At 38.4% G+C, this 20,521-nt stretch overlaps 1 pseudogene; it reads left to right on the top strand.

The window, feature by feature from the left end:
- The first annotated feature begins 1,002 nt into the window (after positions 1–1,002).
- Positions 1,003–5,485, top strand: ARHGAP42P5 (ARHGAP42 pseudogene 5; annotated as a pseudogene).
- Positions 5,486–20,521: the final 15,036 nt, after the last annotated feature.

Raw genomic sequence — 20,521 nt, 5'->3', positions numbered from 1 at the left:
TAGGAAAATTCCCTTTCTACTTCCACAGCAGTACTCCATTTCCAAAAGATGCTGGTCAGAAAGCTGTGTCGTGTGTGTGTATGTGTATGTGTTTGTGTGTGTGTGTGTGTTGGGCGATGCCAAGGTTGCTGATTCTATTCTGTGATCCAGAGTGTATGACAAAATCATGTTGAACCTCATGGCTCTTGAATAAAATAACTACGGGAAATTTGAAGCTTTTAAGAAAAAGACGGTGCGATTGGAAGAGATTTTTAAGAACAGGAAAGAAGCTGGACATGTAAAACCATGCTGGTGATTGAATTAGTGAATGATAGTGTAAAAGAAGGTAAGAAAGAAATTGAGAAAATAAATTGCTTCTGTTTCTGGAACTGTTAGTGTATCCCCAGGACTACATTTCCTTCCCTCCCTCCCTCTCTTCCTCCCTTCCTCCCTTTCCCCCTTCCTTCCTTCCTTCCTTCCCCTGTAACTGGCCCACAGGGGAGAGGTTGAACATGCTTCAGCTGATCTGACTCCAGTAACAGGAAAACTGAAAACTAGTTACACTAGAGGCCTCTTGCTTTTTGTGAGATAATTTCTTAGGAAAAATTTTAAAAAAAAACTAATGAACACAACTGGCTTTGGAAGTTTAAGTGCAAATATTTATAATTTTGGAAGTTTCCAAATGCCTTTCCAAATGTTCCCAATTGCCTTTGCCTTATATAGAGATTTAACAGAATCATTAATGTCAATCAGAAACTCATTTTTGAAAGTTGAGAAAAAGCAGCTTTTATACAGGGAAGCCTGGGGCAAGCATAAACACACTACTTTTTTTTTTCCTACAAAAGAGTCTAAAAATTATCAAGGAACTCGTAAAATAAAATTAGCACTTCTATTGTGTGCTTCTTTAATAATCAACAGTGTTGCTCGCAGTCCCAGCGCTCCCAACGAGGATGCCTCCCGTTGACAACAACCTGAGCAGACCTGCGCCTAGGCCCTCTGCCAGGCCTGTGCTCGCCTCGCCCAGGGGGAGGAAGACTGAGCCCGGCTCAGGCTGCGCTGCGCGCGGTCCCATTTCCTTCCAGCGATCAGTCCCCTGGCTTGCCAGCGAGTCCCCTGGCTTGCCCCAGCGCCCGCCGCGGCCTCCAGCTGCCCCCGCCCTGACCACCGGCCCGGACGTGCCAGCGGCCGCCGCTGGCAGCGCCTGTGCCATGGGGCTGCCCACTCTGGAGTTCAGTGATTACTACTTGGACAGCCCGGATTTTAGGGAGCGCTTGCAGTGTCACCAGATTGAGCTGGAGCGAACCAACAAGTTCATCAAGGAGCTCATTAAGGACGGCTCTCTGCTCACTGGGGCGTTGAGGACAGGTAATGTTGATTGCCTGCCCAGTTCCCTTGCCCTTTCATCCTTTCCAAAGGAACCCTGAGTTCCTTCAGTAACACACCTCTACCCAGGTTGGAGATCTGTCTATGGCAGTGCAGAAATTTTCCCAGTCATTACAAGATTTCCAATTTGAATGTATTGGTGATGTTGAAACAGATGATGAAATTAGTATTGGTCAGTCACTAAAATAATTTGCAAGACTACTCATTGCAGTAGAAGAAAAGCGAAGACTGACCCAAAACGCTAATGATGTATTAATTACACCACTTGAGAAACTTCAAAAAGAACAGATAGGTGCAGCAAAAGGTGAAAAGAAGTTTGACAAAGAGAGTGAAAAATATTTCTCTATCCTTGAAAAGCATTTAAATTTATCTGCAAAGAAAAAGGAGTCTCATTTGCAAGAGGCAGATACACAAATTGATTGAGCACATCAGAACTTCTATGAAGCATCATCAGAATGTCTTTAAATGGCTCACGCCTGTAATCCCAGCACTTCGGGAGGCTGAGGCGGGTGGATCACCTGAGGTCAGGAGTTGGAGACCAGCCTGACCAACATGGAGAAATCCCGTCTCTACTAAAAATACAAAATTACTGGGCCTGGTGGCACATGCCTGTAAAGCCAGCTACTCGGGAGGCTGAGGCAGGAGAATCGCTTGGATCCAGGAGGCAGAGGTTGCAGTGAGCCGAGACTGCACCATTGCACTCCAGCCTGGGCAACAAGAGCAAAACTCTGTCTCAAAATAAATAAATAAACAAATAAATAAAAATAAAAGAAAAAAGAATATGTCTTTAAAATTCAAGAGGTTCAAGAAAAACAGAAGTTTGAATTTGTTGAACTGCTTTTGTCATTTCCTCAGGATTTATTTACTTTTTTACCCCGAGGGATATGAACTTGCCCAGGAATTTGCACCGAATAAGCAACAGCTGCAGTTCGACTTGCAGAATACAAGGAATAATTTTGAAAGTACTTGACAAGAGGTAGAGGGGTTGACGCAAAGGGTGAAATCTGCAAGGCTATCTGCATGTCCAGGAGAAATGACCACTTGGTTTTACATGGATTAAACAGCCTTGTTACTAGCTCACCGGAAATGTTCAAAATCTTGTATCCGACGAAAGACAGATTCAATTGACAAACAATTCTGCTTCGACATACAAGTAGTTGAAAGCCATGGGATCATCACATTACAGGCCTTCTCAGAAGCTAATAGGAAACTCTGGCTTGAAGCCACGGATGGGAAGGAACCGATTTATACTCTGCCTGACATTATAAGCAAGAAAGAAGAAATGTATTTGAACGAAGCAGGGTTCAATTTTGTGAGAAACTGCATTCAAGCTGTGGAAACCAGTGGTATCACCATTTAAGGCCTCTACTGAATAGGAGGAGTGAACTCCAAAGTTCAAAAACTCGTGAATATCATATTTTCTCCTAAATCCCCTCCTGATATTGATATTGAACTGTGGGACAATAAGACAATAATGAGTGGGCTGAAAAACTACCTCAGGTGCTTTGCAGCACCACTGATAACTTACAAGTTACACAAAGATTTGTATCATTGCTGTTAAATCTGATGACCAAAACTACAGGGTGGAGGCTGTACATGCATTGGTGTGCACATTGCCAGAGAAAAACAGAGAGATGCTGGACATCTTAATAAAACATCTGGTCAAAGTATCACTGCACAGCCAACAAAATCTCATGACTGTCTAAAATCTTGGTGTCATATTTGGCCCAACTCTAATGAGAGCACAAGAATAAACTGTGGCTGCTATGGTGAATATTAAATTTCAGAATATTGTGTAGAAATTCTGATAGAGCACAGTGAAACGGTTTTTCATACTGCTCCAGACCCAAGCATTCCTCTTCCTCAGCCTCAGTCTCGATCTGGATCCCAAAGGACAACCTCAGTCTCGATCTGGATCCCAAAGGACATGAGCAATCTGCCTCTCTACAGGCTCTAGGAAGCCCAGAGGGATGTGTACTCCATGCCTGGCTGAACTTGATAGTGATTCCTATAGCAGCAGCACAGACAGCACCCCCATGGGGAGCATCAAGTCACTCTCTTCTCTTTCCTCACAACAAAATAGCACTACAAAGTCAGCTTTCTGCCAGCCCAGGGAGAAATCTGGAGGGATTCCTTGGATTGCAACCCAATCTTCCAATGGACAGAAAAGCCTTGGTCTCTGGACAACTAATCCTGAATCAAGTTCTAGAGAAGATGCAATCAAGACAGATGCAGAATCAGATTGCCAGAGTGTTGCTTCGGTCACTAGCCCAGGGGATGTTTCCCCACCCATAGACCTAGTCAAGAAAGGGCCTTATGGGCTTTCAGGACTGAAAAGAGCTTCTGCTTCTTCTCTCAGATCCATTTCTGCAGCTGAAGGAAACATTAGCTACAGTGGATCTATTCAAAGCTTAACTTCTGTAGGTTCCAAGGAGACACCCAAAGCTTCAAACCCAGACCTGCCTCCAAAAATGTGCAGGAGGTGAAGACTAGACACCACCTCAAGCAATGGCTATCAGCGTCCTGGCTCAGTAGTGGCAGCAAAAGCTCAACTGTTTGAAAATGTTGGTTCACCTAAGCCAGTTTCTTCTGGGCACCAAGCCAAAGCCATGTACTCCTATAAAGGAGAGCACAGCGTGAGCTTTCCTTCCCACAAAGAGCGATATTTTCCAGTGTGGACCCATCAGTGGAACCAGGATGGTTAAAGGCAGCTTATGAAGGCAAAACGGGACTAGTTGCAGAAAATTATGTTGTCTTCCTCTACTACTATTTAGTGGATGGCAGTATCTTCATGGTATCCGGTAACAAATAATAAGTGCTATGATTTTATCTGACACAGATACAAGGGGATCAGCCCACTAAGTGAAAACAGTCAATTTCTATCAAGTTCTTCACCAGCAGACTATGTAGCTCCTTATTAATGGAAAAAAAGGTTTAAATGGTTGGCCATTCTTTTTTGGTTGGTTTCTTATTTTAAAATTTCTTGCTTCTGAAAAATTTATTTTTGGATAATACGTAACTCTCCAGAATGTCTCTTCCATAGCAATTGTAGAGTTTCAAATACTTTATTAAGTACTATATGCCATAAACTTGGAAACCAGAAATCTGCTGTATGGATTTTGAGATGTGTCCTTTACTGCCTGGCATTCTCTAAGGATCTCTGAAACTGCTACTTAAAAATGTTACTGAAAAGCTGGTTACCTGCCCTTTGAGTGCCACAGTCCTGACCTGCTTGTTCTTGACACCTTGCATATTACTTCAGAGTTCCCCACTGTGCAGACTCTCAGGTATTAACTGTATAAAACTCTTTACATGCTATTATAATCTGCAATCTCAATCTCTTCTACTTTAAATTAATGTTTCTAGAATAGGTTAAATACACATATACACACAGAACTATGCCTGAGAAAAGTTATGCTTTTACAAATAAAAAGAATAGATTAGCATTAACAAGTAGGGTGAATAACAGTAGGCAGAGTCAGAATCAGAAATAAATACCAGTGAATCAAAATAAAAGAATGAAAAATATTCTGTATTAAAAATTATCAATGTAATGTAAAAGTCTGATAAAAGATTATTCTTTTTCTTTTACCTCTGACTGTTGACCTCTGTACACTGTAATAAGGTGTTGCTGGATGGAACTTCTTGATCTAGGTCCTTGGTGACCTTAGTAGTAATAACAGCATTGCTGGCACCCTAATTACCCTCTGCTGAAAAAGAAGGTAGTTTATCAATGTACCAATCCCTTAGTCTATACTTGGTTTAAACACGCTTGCCATCATCTGGTATCCTGCTAGATTAGAACCTCTTAAAAGCAAATTGGTTTTCTTTCAAAGACCAACCTGACTCCAAAGACAGATACGGAATCCTGCTTCTTCTGCTGCATAAAGAAATCTCAACCTTCATTTTACTTGAACACAGACCGAAGTGTTCCTACTTCTGCGTTGTCTGTGAGCTAGTTCTACGGATGTTCCACTCAGATTTAAAGCTTTTTATTGCACAGGACGTGGATATGAAGCCTAACTCTTGTATCTGATGGCAAGGCATATGTTGTAGCCACAGTACTGGCTATGGTCCCTTTGCTGAAAGAAGCTACAGAAGCACTGATTCAAGCTGTGTTTGTGCTAGAAGTTTTAATCTTGTAGATTTGTGAGGATGGCTCTTTTTCCTTCATAATAGATTACATGTACAAGCAAGTCAGGGCCATATACTGGAGACAGGCTAAAGCTGCTTTTCCCTTAAAGAAAGTTTCCTACAGATAAGGTATTTATGAGCATTGAGAAAGTCAGGACGTGTACTCTAAATCACACAGAGTGTTAATTCCACAGGAAGGCAATGCCAGACATTGGAAGAGGATCACATTCAACTTCTAATAGTAGTTCAATAACAAAACCTTAGCTTTTCAGAAAAAATGTGAAGAAATGGAAATCTGAATCATAATATAAACTTTCTCTACAAGATACTTGGCCTGGTGCAATGTCTCATGCCTGTAATCCCAGCACTTTGTGAGGCCAAGGCTGGTGGATCATGAGGTCAGGAGTTCAAGACCAGCCCGGCCAAGATGGTGAAACACTGTCTCTACTAAAAATAAAAAAATTAGCCGAGTGTGGTGGTGGGCACCTATAATCCCAGCTACTTGGGAAGCTGAGGCAGAAAATTGCTTGAACCTGGGAGGCAGAGGTTGCAGTGAGCTGAGAATGTACCAATGCACTCCAGTTAAAAAAAAAAATTAACCATTTAGATCAATGCTGTCTGGTTAAATATTCTGTGATAATGGAAATATTCTATACTTGCCCTGTCCAATAAAGTAGCCACTCACCAAGTGTGTCTATTGAGCACTTGAAATGTAGCTAGTATGACGGAAGAACTGAATTTTAAATTTCATTTAATTATAACTGATTAAAAGTTAAGTAGCTAGTGGCTACTATACTGAATACCACAGATATATACAACAAATTTTAAAAATTTTCCAAACATGGGAATGGGTCACCTAAATGATTTTAGATACCAAGCTAAATAAAAACATCTGGAGATGATACTATTTTGACTCTAATAATTTTTTTGTTGAAAGCAATATATATATTATATATACACACATATACATATAAATATATACACATACATGTATATATAATCTAGAGGTTTCTTTCCTTTCAAAAATACTTCATACCTGTAACTTAAAAAATATAATTTTATCTTTCTTGTCTTTATTTTGAATTTTCAGTCATTTCAAAGTTAATATGAGCAATAATATCATTAAAAAGTGGGCAAAGGATATGAACAGACACTTCTCAAAAGAAGTTGGCCAACAAACATATGAAAGAAAGCTCAACATCACTCATCATCAGAGAAATGCAAATCAAAACCACAATGAGATACCATCTCATGCCAGTCAGAATGGTGATTATTTAAAAGAGTCAGGATACAATAGATGCTGGTGAAGCTGTGGAGAAATAGGAATGCTTTTACACTGTTGGTGAGGATATACATTAGTTTAATCATTGTGGAAGACAGCATGGTGATTCCCCAAGTATCTAAAACCAGAAATACCATTTGACCCTGCAATCCCATTACTGGGTATATACCCAAAGGAATATAAATCATTCTACTTATTGCAGCACAATTTACAATAGCAAAGACTGGAACCAACCCAAATGCCCATCAATGACAGACTGGATAAAGAAAATATGTCACATATACACCATGGAATACTATGCAGCCATGAAAAATGAATGAGAGCATGTCCTTTGCAGGGACATGGATGAAACTGGAAGCCATCATCCTCGGCAAACTAACACAAGAACAGAAAACCAGACACTGCATGTTCTCATTCAGTGGGAGTTGAACATTGAGAACACATGGACACAGAGAGGGGAACAACATACACCACGGTCTATTGGAGGATAGGGATGAGGGGAGGGAACTTAGAGGATGGGTCAATAGGTGCAGCAAACCACTATGGCACACATATACCTATGCAACAAACCTGCACATCCTGTACATGTATCCTTTTTTTAGAAGCAGCAATAAAAAAAATGATCACTTCATTTCAGGAGGTAGACTTTTCCTCTTAAAGCTTTTCAGATTTTTATCCCAAGGGTTTGGCTTTTTATGCATCTCAATACGTGTAATTTGCAGTTAATACATCAATGCCTTCTGCTCTTGTTACTTCTCTCCTTAAAACAGTACATCTTTTTGATTAACTAAAGTGGTGACTCTCTCTCTCATTTTTTTTTTTTTTGTCAGTTCCTATTGCATTTTTCCCCACTTCGCACTCTGGTATTATAACCTGACACCGAGAACGTTTGTCTCAAGAAAAAAACTGGAAAAACAATGTTTTTCTGGTATAGATTAATTCTGTACTCTTGGCTTTTCCTGATGTATCCAGATTGTTCTATGTAACCAGGAAATTTCACATGCTCTTTCTTTTTCTAAAAAGCCATCCATTCCACCTGGTGGAGGTACTACTTGTTTGTGTGTGTGTGTGTGTGTGTGTGTGTGTGTATTATTATTCTATAATATGGTTTACATATAACTTTAGACATACACTCTTCCAGCGTCTAGTTGAATTAAAGTAGTTTTTCATGGGGTTTAATTTCCAGTTTACTCAAAAGGGCATATACCAAGAGAAATGGTCATATTACAAAAGGTTTTTTTTTTCTCTCTCTCTAAGTAATCCACCTAACAAGCAGATATTTTATGTTTTAAGATAGCTTCTTGTGGTTTGGGCTGTCTTTATTCGGGTTTTGACCTCCTGAAAAAACTAAGTCATCTCTAACACAGGTCTAAGTATTTTTTTCTCTTGACCAGGTAACTTTTGAATTTGTTTTTGAAGTCTTTCCATTATTACTCTGGTTAAATAAGTGACCATTATCTCTCAAGGATATGTAATTCTACTTTAATTAAATATTTTTAGGCTTTTTGCATCCAAACAAATGACAAACTTCCACAGAATCAAATTCAAATTTAAGTCTTTTTCACTTAAAATTGACTAAGGGATTTTATAGTTGGGCTCCTGGGAAGTCTCAAAAGATTTGCCTCCCATTAGGCTTGCTTGATCAGCTCCCAAAATCTTCTCTAGTGTCCATGTGCGTTCTTTCAAAACAATATATAGCATTTCCCTTGCTAGTAAACCCCCAATCTTCTCTTTGTCCTTCACACATATAGAAGACCACCGTGGTTTTCAGTTTTGTTCAGAACTACAATTCTGTGATTCCCAAATAAATTGTATAATTTAGAGATCCATCTTTATTTTGACTTCAATAGTGGTGATAAATTCTGATACAATATTCAAGAATATGTTTTATAACAATACTAAGTCAATTTAGAAATGCATTTTAGTGTGATATAAAATCCTTAACTTTTCTCCTCCACTGACATTATGTATGATTTTGTTATTATTTTACAAGCACTTAAAAATTCTCTATTTTACATAAGGTTTATATTAGATATAATTTTGTGAGGAAAATAAAAGTTCGGTTTTCTATTTGCATTGTGCTAATTCAGACTGCACTTGGTTCTTCATGCACACTGTATAAGCTAAAGTTTAGACAAATTATTGTAAAAACTGATACACATATAGACCATTATAGTGTTATTTTTAAAAGCACAAGAAACTACTTTAAAAGATCACAAGGAGATTACAGCAAATGAATCTTCATATTCATTACCTCAATGAAATATAATTTAACACTAGTTTCGATTTTTTTCCAAAAGACTAATTTTCAAGTGAAAGCTTTAGATCTTTGAAAGTAATAGAATTAAAGATAAAGATAGAAAAGATACATAATTCATTTCAGCAGTTTTCTGAGAAATACCATATTTTCCAAAATATATATGTTCTTATAAGAAATGGATTCTCTTTAGGCTATTAGATTATCAATCTTCTACAATAGGCCAATTTTCAAAGCACTAGGCCTATGTTCACTCAACCAGTCTCATGAAGCAAAAACTGAATTAAGATATTGCATTTATTTTAGTCCACATATTTATCAAGCAAAGAAACTATGGAACAAAGACTCTTTCTTGCTGAAGTTCTTGGGATTTCCATGGTGCTTAATGCATATTTTTTTAAATTGTGAGATCAAAGAACACAAATCTTGAGCCATTGTGTATGTTACCTGGGTAAAAAAAATTAAACTTGATCTTTTCAAATATCTAATGGAATCCCAGGCATTGTGATTTATTAAAATATGAAGTTAAATATTTAAGAGAAAATTAATCACAATGAAATGAGTTGACTTTCTAAGAAAAGCAAGTATGTAATTAAGGAATCATTAGCAGACACTCTCAAAACAATTACAACATTTAAAAGCAATCAACATTACAACTCTTAGGTTGTGTTTTAAATTCCTCATAACCTAAACATATATATTCACTAATTATTCACTTGCCAATATGAACAATGAAAGATGAGTTAGAAAAACCAGAGGCTTTAGTTCAAAAATGACAATCTTTGGTACTGCAGCAAGGAAATAATTAGCTGGTGAAATTAATGACTCCACCTGGCTTTATCTCGGTAATGTTCTGAAATACATGCAATGAACAACTTGACATTGTTTGATGTTCTTAATTCTTTACAGCCATCTCTATTGGTGGTCTTAATAGATCAGATCAATCAGAAATGATCATATTATGAAATGTAAATCACTTCACATGACTTATCTGGAAAATGTGCTTGTACTTACTTGCACCATCTCAAGTTCCAAGAGCCAAAAACATACACATGCTCATGGAGGAGAATTTCCTTTCTGATTTTAGAACAGTCTGAAAGGGTGTGAAAAAATGAAAAAGAAGGGGGAGCTTACAAATAACAAAAATGTATATCCAAATGAAAGTTAGAATGTCTATGGAACTAGTAGTAGTAACAACAGTAGACAAAAGATAGGATGTAGATGTTAAGAAGATGTCTACAAGGGAAGCACAAGACTCCAGATGCTCTTGCTACTAAAATGCAGATTCAAGGTTTACCATCTGTAATATTCTGCTGCCATGTACATCTATGGCCACTAGTACTGTCTAAAAGGAGGATATATATTAAGAAATCATCAAAAAGGACTGCATAGCAGAAACTTTCCTGATATCAAGGGATCAACTTAACTACAATTATATACAGGTGCCAATTTCCTCTGGAGTAAACTACCACACTGGGCCTCATGTACCAGTTAGATAATCCAAGTCAGCCTTTATTGCATAACCTATCTAAAAGATTGGACTCTACATTTTGGCTCTGCAGAACTGAGAGAAGAAATGTATAAATAGGATAGTGATATTGCCTTTGTCTATGGGAATTCTTGAGTCTAATAAAAAAATCTGGGAAAAATCTAACTTCATGATTACACTCGGGCACATAGATGATTAATACGAATGAAGTAACAACCATAAATACAATCATAACCACAAGAACAACAGTAATTCAAATTTTCTCACTTCATAGATGTTCTTACAATGCTTTATTGGTATCTCGTAGGTGCTCTCCCCAAGCCTCAGGTGTTATTCCACAATCTCAGTTGATGCAAAGGCAAACACCACACTCTCCTCTGTTCAATGTCTGCCATCCTTGTCTTTTTGGCCTCTGACTCTTCCCTATACTACTGTCTATGCACTTGAGATCTTCACTGATATAGCTTGGCTCTGTATTTATTGATAAGAATATCTCTTTTCTCTTAGACTAGGCATGACCAAAAGGTTAATCTGGATTCAAAGATTAATGACAATGACCACTCAGTTTTTATTCAAGATCAATTTTATTTGTTGTAAAAACAAACATGGGTTATGTTCCAGACAAACAGATATAAGTGAGTAGACTTATGCCTTTGTGCCTCCTTGACTCTTCACAGGTTGCAAAAACAAATCCTGCCAGCAGGAGGTGGCAGGTTGCTGAGGTGGCTGGTTGCTCTTTGAGCCATCTTGGCCTTGTCTGGCATGCACAGGCCCTGGCACTGCAAAATATTCAGGGAGTAAGAGTGTTGCACAAAGGATTTTACCAACCTCGTCACATTAAGCAGCGTTCAAGGATTTGCTGACCACCACTTAAACAAATTTTGTGTTATGCTATAGCAATGAACTTACTTGTTCTATTTCTAAACACAACATTGGGTTCACACACAGGCCTGGACAAAGCTTCCCACTTCTGAACTATTTACTGATCTTCCTGTTCTCAAAGAATGCAAGATGAATGATGTGCAATACCATGGCTATGGCATGTGACTTTTCTAGACCTGGATGGTTAGTGTCCCAATATTTAACTGATTTTTTGGGGGGTGAAAATATGCCAACAGTTCTTCCTTCTATCATCCCCATCACTACCATACATGTAATGACATAATCATGTCAAAGTGTGTCCTCAGAATCACTATTCCTAGCTGAGTATACTAAGGCTTTCTATCTAGGTCAGTTCATTGTGTCTGTGTCTCCTCTAAACCCTCCTTCATCATGCCTACCTTGAGGAATTCAGCAAGTGATCATTCACACAAGCTAAAGGATTTTAGCTTTCTCTGCCATAAAGATTATTGCTAAAATACACACCATACAACAAACCAACCCATTTCCCACAAATCTTACTGTCTGACTTCTCACAAAATACATAATGACTTTTATTGTGTCTCTTCCTTCTGTGTTTCTCTTTCCTAACTGAACTTTGTTCTTTATCCATGCCTTCTTCCAATCCTGACATATTTTAAAACCTTTAGCATTTCTGCCTATAATATTTGGGTTTTCTCCTTTTCCTATCTTTATTTAATAAGTCCCATACAAATATTTTCCCCGTAATCACAATGTTTTCTTTTCACTTTGCCCAAGAACTGAGTTATGAGTTCCAAATTTGGATAAACTCTACATTGGCTAAGTTTTAGTCATTTGCACTGCTAAGAAAGATGGCAATTCAACATGCTGAAGATGACTTCCTCCCTTATAAAGGGGCTAACACAGAGGGCAATACTGTTCATGCTTCTGAGTCTTGATCACAAGAATTGCTTTAGGCAATTACAATCATGTCTCCTCTGACATATCATATTATTCAAGTGAGACAGAGAAAGAATATGTCCTATGTCACACAGCTGGGTGGTGACAGCTGCTTTAGCATCAGCACACTGCGTTCCCTCTGATTTCTTCATTCATCTCTAAGTAGCAGTAAATCCGGTCCTGAATACTGACTTTGACACTCAGCTTTCTCCACATCCTTCCTGTCACTGCCTTTGAGACTACTTCAGATTCTTCCCTTAGCTTCTATTTCTCCATTTGTAAAATGGGTTGATGAGGGTATCTTCATCAGTAGCTGTGACAATAAAAATGGGATCATCATGCATCCTCCTTAGCCCCATGAGTAAGCTCCCAGTAAGTGAGGTTGTCATCATTACTGGATATTTAAGATTATCTACCTATTTGAAAAACCCTAGTGACAGCGTCTCAGTTGCTTTTCTTTTTGCGTGAATGATCACTTGCTGAATTCATCAAGCAGGCGCTTTAACATTTACCTTCCTTTATTATGCTGGAGCATTTTTCATGTAGGAAGCTTCTGTGGCTTCTCACTATGACTGCTTTGTTTGTTCAAAACTTATACAGGTTGAGTATCCTTTATCTGAAATGCTTGGGTCAGAAGTGTGTTGGGTTTCAACTGTTTTCAGATTTTGGAATATTTTCTTCTATGTAATGAGATATCTTGGGAATGGGACCCATGTCTAAACACAAAATTCACTCATGTTTCATACACACTTAGCCACATACACATAACCTGAAGGTAATCTTATACAATATTTTAAATAATTTTATGCATGAAACAAAGTTTTGAATATGTTTTACTGTGACCCATCACATGAGGTAAGATGTGTGGAATTTTCCACTTGTGGCATCATGTCAGCACTCAAAACATTTTGGATTTTGGAGAATTTCAGATTTTGGATTTTCGAGTAGGTGTGTTCAATCTGTATATATGGGCCAGATTAAGTTGTTTCCTTTAATCCTTGGCTGAAGGAAGCACAGAAGACTTTGGGGCCTCAATCTCTCATATGCAGTGACATTCTCAAAGCCATTGACTCAGCTTCTCACCTGGGTTTCCTTCCAGTGAGCCACAGATAGAAGTCACAGGTGATGACAGGGGCCTGCTGGCTGATGGCATTCCAGTACTGGGTTGTGAAGTTGCTGGTGGTGAAATCAGCATATGGCCTCATCAAAGCTCTCTCAAATGGAATTGGAATTTCAAAGGTTGCCAAGACCTGGAATCCTGGGGGAAAAAAAGAGGGTAAGTGCTAGAGGAGAATAGGAAAATATATGCCCATCATAGTGGAAGGTATTTATAATGGGTCACAACAATAAAGATGAAGGATTTGCTGTGTAGAGTCAAGAATCAATTTCTGAGAACAAGGTAAAGATTTTTATGCTAGGCAAGTGGTTATCTGCAAAATGAAACAATGTGAATGGGTTAAGAATTGGACCATTTATTTGAAACATCTACTCTAAAACAAATTCTTGGGGAAACACATGTAGTCAATAAAAGGGGGTACTGTTCAGAAAAACATAAATCCACATTTAATTCTAAGGTTATCTAGTTTATTCTGAAAGCCCCAAGACAGAGGCTAGAAACTTTATTTTCCTGACTGGACCATTACTGTCAGAACCATTTAGAAAGTTTCTTAACATTTTATTTGAATCTTTATTAAAAGTGTAACTAAAAAATTCTAAAGGCAAGATTTTCTTGTGTTAGCTTACTTTAAATATTTCTCCGGGAATATGTCAGACTCAATTGTCCACTCTGGTATCCAGGGTTTTATTCATAATAGTGTTTTTCTTTTTATATTAATACTTACATTAAGCTTAATTAAGAACATTTTACATACATTTGTGAATTCAGTAGTTCTTTCGAAAAGATACTCATTTGAATTCAATTCTATTTAAGGTATGTAGGTTTTTGCAAAGCATATGCCTAAGCTCATTATTCAATTATGATGTCAGTTGTTATAGTAAAATGATTATTGCCCTACTTAAAAAAATGCCAGCTAAAAATCTATCTGAAAAACATAACTCCTCTTCAGAGAAGATTCTCAAGAATCATCTGGTCCATATTGATTTATACTTTAAAAAGATGGGGGTAAAAAAAAAAGTTATGTACAGGTTGATAGCATAAGAGATTCTGATCTCAACACTGACGTTCTGATCTATATATCCATATACTTGTTCAACATTTCCACCTGGAGGTGTAATAGACATTCACATTTAACAGCTCTAAAATGGGCCTCCTGATACACCCACTGCTAACCACCCCCTTCCCAATACATACACAAACTTGCTATTTCACCAGTCTTCTACCTCTAACCAAATGCTAATTCAATTTGTTTAGTAGTTCAGCCAAAAACTTTGGGGCTATCCTTGATTCATCTCTTTCTTTAACAACCCACACACAGTTGAACAAAATCTATCAGCTCTCTGCTTGAAAAATATCCAGAATCATAATTTCCACCTGCTATCTCTCTGATCCAAACGACTACTGTAGCCTGGAATGTTACAATACTGTCCTAAGTGGTCTCTGCCACTACCCCTGTACCCCTAGTCGGACCTCCATGTAGCAGCCAGAGTGATTCTTGTAAAATGTAACTCAGAGTATATTACAGGAACTTCCCCATTCAGAACCCTTCAATGGAATCTCTTCTCATTTAGAGGCAAAGCCATGGTCTGCAAGGCCTTGCACTCTCTGCATCCTCACTCTCTCTGCCCACCACTCTGACTTCATCTCTTACCGCCCTCCCTCTCAGTGCTTCTGGTGCAGCCATACTGGCCTCCTTGCTGTCCTTGAATATGATTAAAGAACTTCAGCACTTACTGTTTCTTCAACTTGGAATATTTCATCCGCAAGTCTCTCTGATTTGCCCTCTCACTTCTTTCAGGTCTCTACTAAGATGACACCTTATCAGAGAGACTTTCTTTGGCCATCACATATCAAATAGCAGCCTTCCCACAATACTATTTACTTCTTTAATCTGTTTTATTTTTCTGCAATCACTCAACCATATCTAATGCATATTTCTCCTTTCTAAGATTTAAGTACCATAACAAAATTTTGTCTGTTTTGTTTGAACCTATACAGTACCTTGAAAAGTGGCTGACAGGTAATCAGTGCCTAATAAACATTTTTTGACTAAACGAATCAATAAATATCTCAGCAACATACACTTACTTTCCTTTTCTGAAATCTATATCAATCCTTCAATCCTTCCTTTAGCCATTTCAAATATATTTATTTAGCATTTAACACTTGCCAGGCACTGTGGTAGATGCTGAGGTAAAAAAAATTACATATGATATATTGTCTTTAGAGAACTGGCAATCTGGTGGGAGATGTGGACAATTCGTGATTACAATATTTTGCCTGAGTATTCTGCTAGAGGCCAGTACAATATGCACTGGAGGAATACAAAAGAAGCATCTAGCTCTGTCTGGGTGCCAGGAAGGGGAGGGGTGGGTCTGGGTTAGGAAAGGCTTTCTGAGAAAGCTGTCCAAATGGTAATAGCAAGCATTTACTAAAGTGTTCACTGTTCTAACCACTGTACTAAGCACTTTATCTCACTACATTCTCCCAAGAGCTCCCTAGAATAGAATAATTATTATTCTCATTGACAGATAAAAAAATTGATTTACAGGGAGAAACTGAGAGACTTTTTCAAACTGATACAACTAATAAGTAGTGGAGTCTAGTAAATGGTGGGACACATACCAGCATGTAACATCTATGTGAGCATGGATTTCTGTTTAGTGATATATCCTCAGCACCAAGAATAATGCCTATTTAATGAATACAGGAGTGAGTGAATGAGCTATGATGTGAATCCAAGTCTATTAGATCTCAAAGCCCAAGACTTTTAACAATCAAGCTACTGTCTGTCTGATGTGAGGGACAAGTAGAAACTCATGCACATGTAGAAAATGTAATTTGGCAATTGAAAACTGCACTCTACATCCTCACAGGTCAAAGAACAAATTTGAATGAAAAATGTTTAAGGATTAGAGAGTAATGATAACATAAACATTATACAACAAAATGTGTGGGATACAGCCAAAGTGGCATTTGAGGGAAATATCCAGCCATAAATGATGTATTAGACAAGCCAAATATTCGTGGGCTATATTTCTAAGTTAAAGAGAAGAAAAACATAATCAAAGAAAACAGGAGGAAGGGGAAAAAAGAGATAAGGCAATACATCTATGCAATAGAAAACAAAGCAGCATAATAAAGAGTCAATAGGCTGGGCATGGTGGCTCATGCCTGTATTCCCAGCACTTTTGGAGGCTAAGGTGGGTGGATCACCTGAGGTCAGGAGTTCAAGACCAGCCTGACCAACATGGAGAAACCCCATCTCTACTGAAAATACAAAATTAGCCAGGTGTGGTGGCACATGTCTGTAATCCCAACTACTCTACTCAGGAGGCTGAGGCAGGAGAACTGCTTCAACCCGGGAGGCAGAGGTTGTGGTGAGCCAAGAAATTGCCATTGTACTCCAGCCTGGGCAACAAGAGTGAGACCCCATCTCAAAAAAAAAAAAAAAAAAAAAAAAAGAGAAAGAAAGAACAAAGAAAAAAGTCAATAAAGGCCAAAGAAGTAAATACATTTTAAAACAGACAAAATCTTAGAAAAAGAGACAAATATAATTTACTAAAACTGATTCCAGCATAAAATAGAGCCTGCAAAATTCTTTAACTATTAAAGACACTGAAGCAATAAAAAGTCTTCTCACAAAAAATTATGAATCCAGATAATTTAAAGGTGATTTTCACTTACTGTAGCCTTGTAGTATAGTTTGAAGTCAGGTAGCGTGATGCCTCCAGCTTTGTTCTTTTGGCTTAGAACTGACTTGGCGATGTGGGCTCTTTTTTGATTCCATATGAACTTTAAAGTAGTTTTTTCCAATTCTGTGAAGAAAGTCACTGGTAGCTTGATGGGGATGGCATTGAATCTGTAAATTACCTTGGGCAGTATGGCCATTTTCACGATATTGATTCTTCCTACCCATGAGCATGGAATGTTCTTCCATTTGTTTGTATCCTCTTTTGTTTCATTGAGAAGTGGTTTGTAGTTCTCCTTGCAGAGGTCCTTCACGTCCCTTGTAAGTTGGATTCCTAGGTATTTTATTCTCTTTGAAGCAACGGTGAATGGGAGTTCACTCATGATTTGGCTCTCTGTTTGTCTGTTATTGGTGTATAAGAATGCTTGTGATTTTTGTACTTTGATTTTGTATCCTGAGACTGCTGAAGTTGCTTATCAGCTTAAGGAGATTTTGGGCTGAGACAATGGGGTTTTCTAGACATACAATCATGTCATCTGTAAACAGGGACAATTTGACTTCCTCTTTTCCTAATTGAATACCCTTTATTTCCTTCTGCTGCCTAATTGCCCTGGCCAGAACTTCCAACACTATGTTGAATAGGAGTGGTGAGAGAGGGCATCCCTGTCTTGTGCCAGTTTTCAAAGGGAATGCTTCCGGCTTTTGCCCATTCAGTATGATATTGGCTGTGGTTTTGTCATAGATAGCTCTTATTATTTTGAGATACGTCCCATCAATACCAAATTTATTGAGAGTTTTTAACATGAAGGTTGTTGAATTTTCTCAGAGGCCTTTTCTGCATCTATTGAGATAATCATGTGGTTTTTGTCTTTGGTTCTGTTTATATGCTGGATTACATTCATTGATTTGTGTATATTGAACCAGCCTTGCATCCCAGGGATGAAGCCCACTTGATCATGATGGATAAGCTTTTTGATGTGCTGCTGGATTCGGTTTGCCAGTATTTTATTGAGGATTTTTGCATCAATGTTCATCAGGTATATTGGTCTAAAATTCTCTTTTTTGGTTGTGTCTCTGCTCGGCTTTGGTATCAGGATGATGCTGGCATCATAAAATGAGTTACGGAGGATTCCCTCTTTTTCTATTGATTGGAATAGTTTCAGAAGGAATGGTACCAGTTCCTCCTTGTACCCTGGTAGAATTCGGCTGTGAATCCATCTGGTCCTGGACTCTTTTTGGTTGGTAAGCTATTGATTATTGCCACAATTTCAGCTCCTGTTATTGGTCTATTCAGAGATTCAACTTCTTCCTGCTTTAGTCTTGGGAGGGTGTATGTGTCAAGGAATTTATCCATTTCTTCTAGATTTTCTAGTTTATTTGTGTAGAGGTGTTTGTAGTATTCTCTGATGGTAGTTTGTATTTCTGTGGGATTGGTGGTGATATCCCCTGGCCAGGTACTCCTCTGAGACAAAACTTCCAGAGGAACGATCACACAGCAGCTTTTGTGGTTCACGAAAATCTGCTGTTCTACAGCCAACGCTGCTGGCACCCAGGCAAACAGGGTCTGGAGTGGACCTCTAGGAAATTCCAACAGACCTGCAGCTAAGGGTCTTGTCTGTTAGAAGGAAAACAAACAAACAGAAAGGACATCCACACCAAAAACCAATCTGTACATCACCATCATCAAAGACCAAAAGCAGATAAAACCACAAAGATGGGGAAAAAAATGAGCAGAAAAACTGGAAACTCTAAAAAGTGAGCATCTCTCCTCCTCCAAAGGAACGCAGCTCCTCACCAGCAACAGAACAAAGCTGGATGGAGAATGACTTTGATGAGTTGAGAGAAGAAGGCTTCAGATGATCAAACTATTACGAGCTACAGAAGGAAATTCAAACCAAAGGCAAAGAAGTTGAAAACTTTGAAAAAAAGTTAGATGAATGTATAACTAGAATAACCAATACAGAGAAATGCTTAAAGGAGCTGATGGAGCTGACAGCCAAGGCTCGAGAACTACGTGAAGAATGCAGAAGCCTCAGGAGCCGATGTGATCAACTGGAAGAAAGGGTATCAGTGATGGAAGATGAAATGAATGAAATGAAGTGAGAGGTGAAGTTTAGAGAAAAACGAATAAAAAGAAATGAACAAAGCCTCCAAGAAATATGGGACTATGTGAAAAGACCAAATCTACATCTGATTGGTGTGCCTGAAAGTGACGGAGAATGGAACCAAGTTGGAAAACACTCTGCAGGATATTATCCAGGAGAACTTCCCCAATCTAGCAAGGCAGGCCAACATTCAGATTCAGGAAATACAGAGAACGCCACAAAGATACTCCTCGAGAAGAGCAACTCCAAGACACATAATTGTCAGATTCACCAAAGTTGAAATGAAGGAAAAAATGTTAAGGGCAGCCAGAGAGAAAGGTCGGGTTACTCACAAAGGGAAGCCCATCAGACTAACAGCGGATCTCTTGGCAGAATCTCTACAAGCTAGAAGAGAGTGGGGGCCAATATTCAACATTCTTAAAGAAAAGAATTTTCAACCCAGAATTTCACGTCCAGCCAAACTAAGCTTCATAAGTGAAGGAGAAATAAAATACTTTACAGACAAGCAAATGCTGAGAGATTTTGTCACCACCAGGCCTGCCCTAAAAGAGCTCCTGAAGGAAGCACTAAACATGGAAAGGAACAACCGATAGCAGCCACTGCAAAACCATGCCAAATTGTAAAGACCATCAAGGCTAGGAAGAAACCGCATCAACTAATGAGCAAAATAACCAGCTAACATCATAATGACAGGATCAAATTCACACATAACAATATCAACTTTAAATGTAAATGGACTAAATGCTCCAATTAAAAGACACAGACTGGCAAATTGGATAAAGCGTCAAGACCCAACAGTGTGCTGTATTCAGGAAACCCATCTCACGTGCAGAGTCACACATAGGCTCAAAATAAAAGGATGGAGGAAGATCTACCAAGCAAATGAAAAACAAAAAAAGGCAGGGGTTGCAATCCTAGTCTCTGATAAAACAGACTTTAAACCAACAAAGATCAAAAGAGACAAAGAAGGCCATTGCATAATGGTAAAGGGATCAATTCAACAAGAAGAGCTAACTATCCTAAATATATATGCACCCAATACAGGAGCACCCAGATTCATAAAGCAAGTCCTGAATGACCTACAAAGAGACTTAGCCTCCAACACAATAATAATGGGAGACTTTAACACCCCACTGTCAACATTAGACAGATCAACAAGACAGAAAGTTAACAAAGATACCCAGGAATTGAACTCAGCTCTGCACCAAGTGGACCTAATAGACATCTACAGAACTCTCCACCCCAAATCAACAGAATATACATTTTTTTCAGCACCACACCACA

This window comes from Homo sapiens, chromosome 14, assembly GCF_000001405.40.
Source record: "Homo sapiens chromosome 14, GRCh38.p14 Primary Assembly".
NCBI lineage: Eukaryota > Metazoa > Chordata > Mammalia > Primates > Hominidae > Homo > Homo sapiens.
The sequence above is the reverse complement of the archived record's forward strand: the minus strand, read 5'-3'. Positions and strand labels throughout refer to the sequence as shown.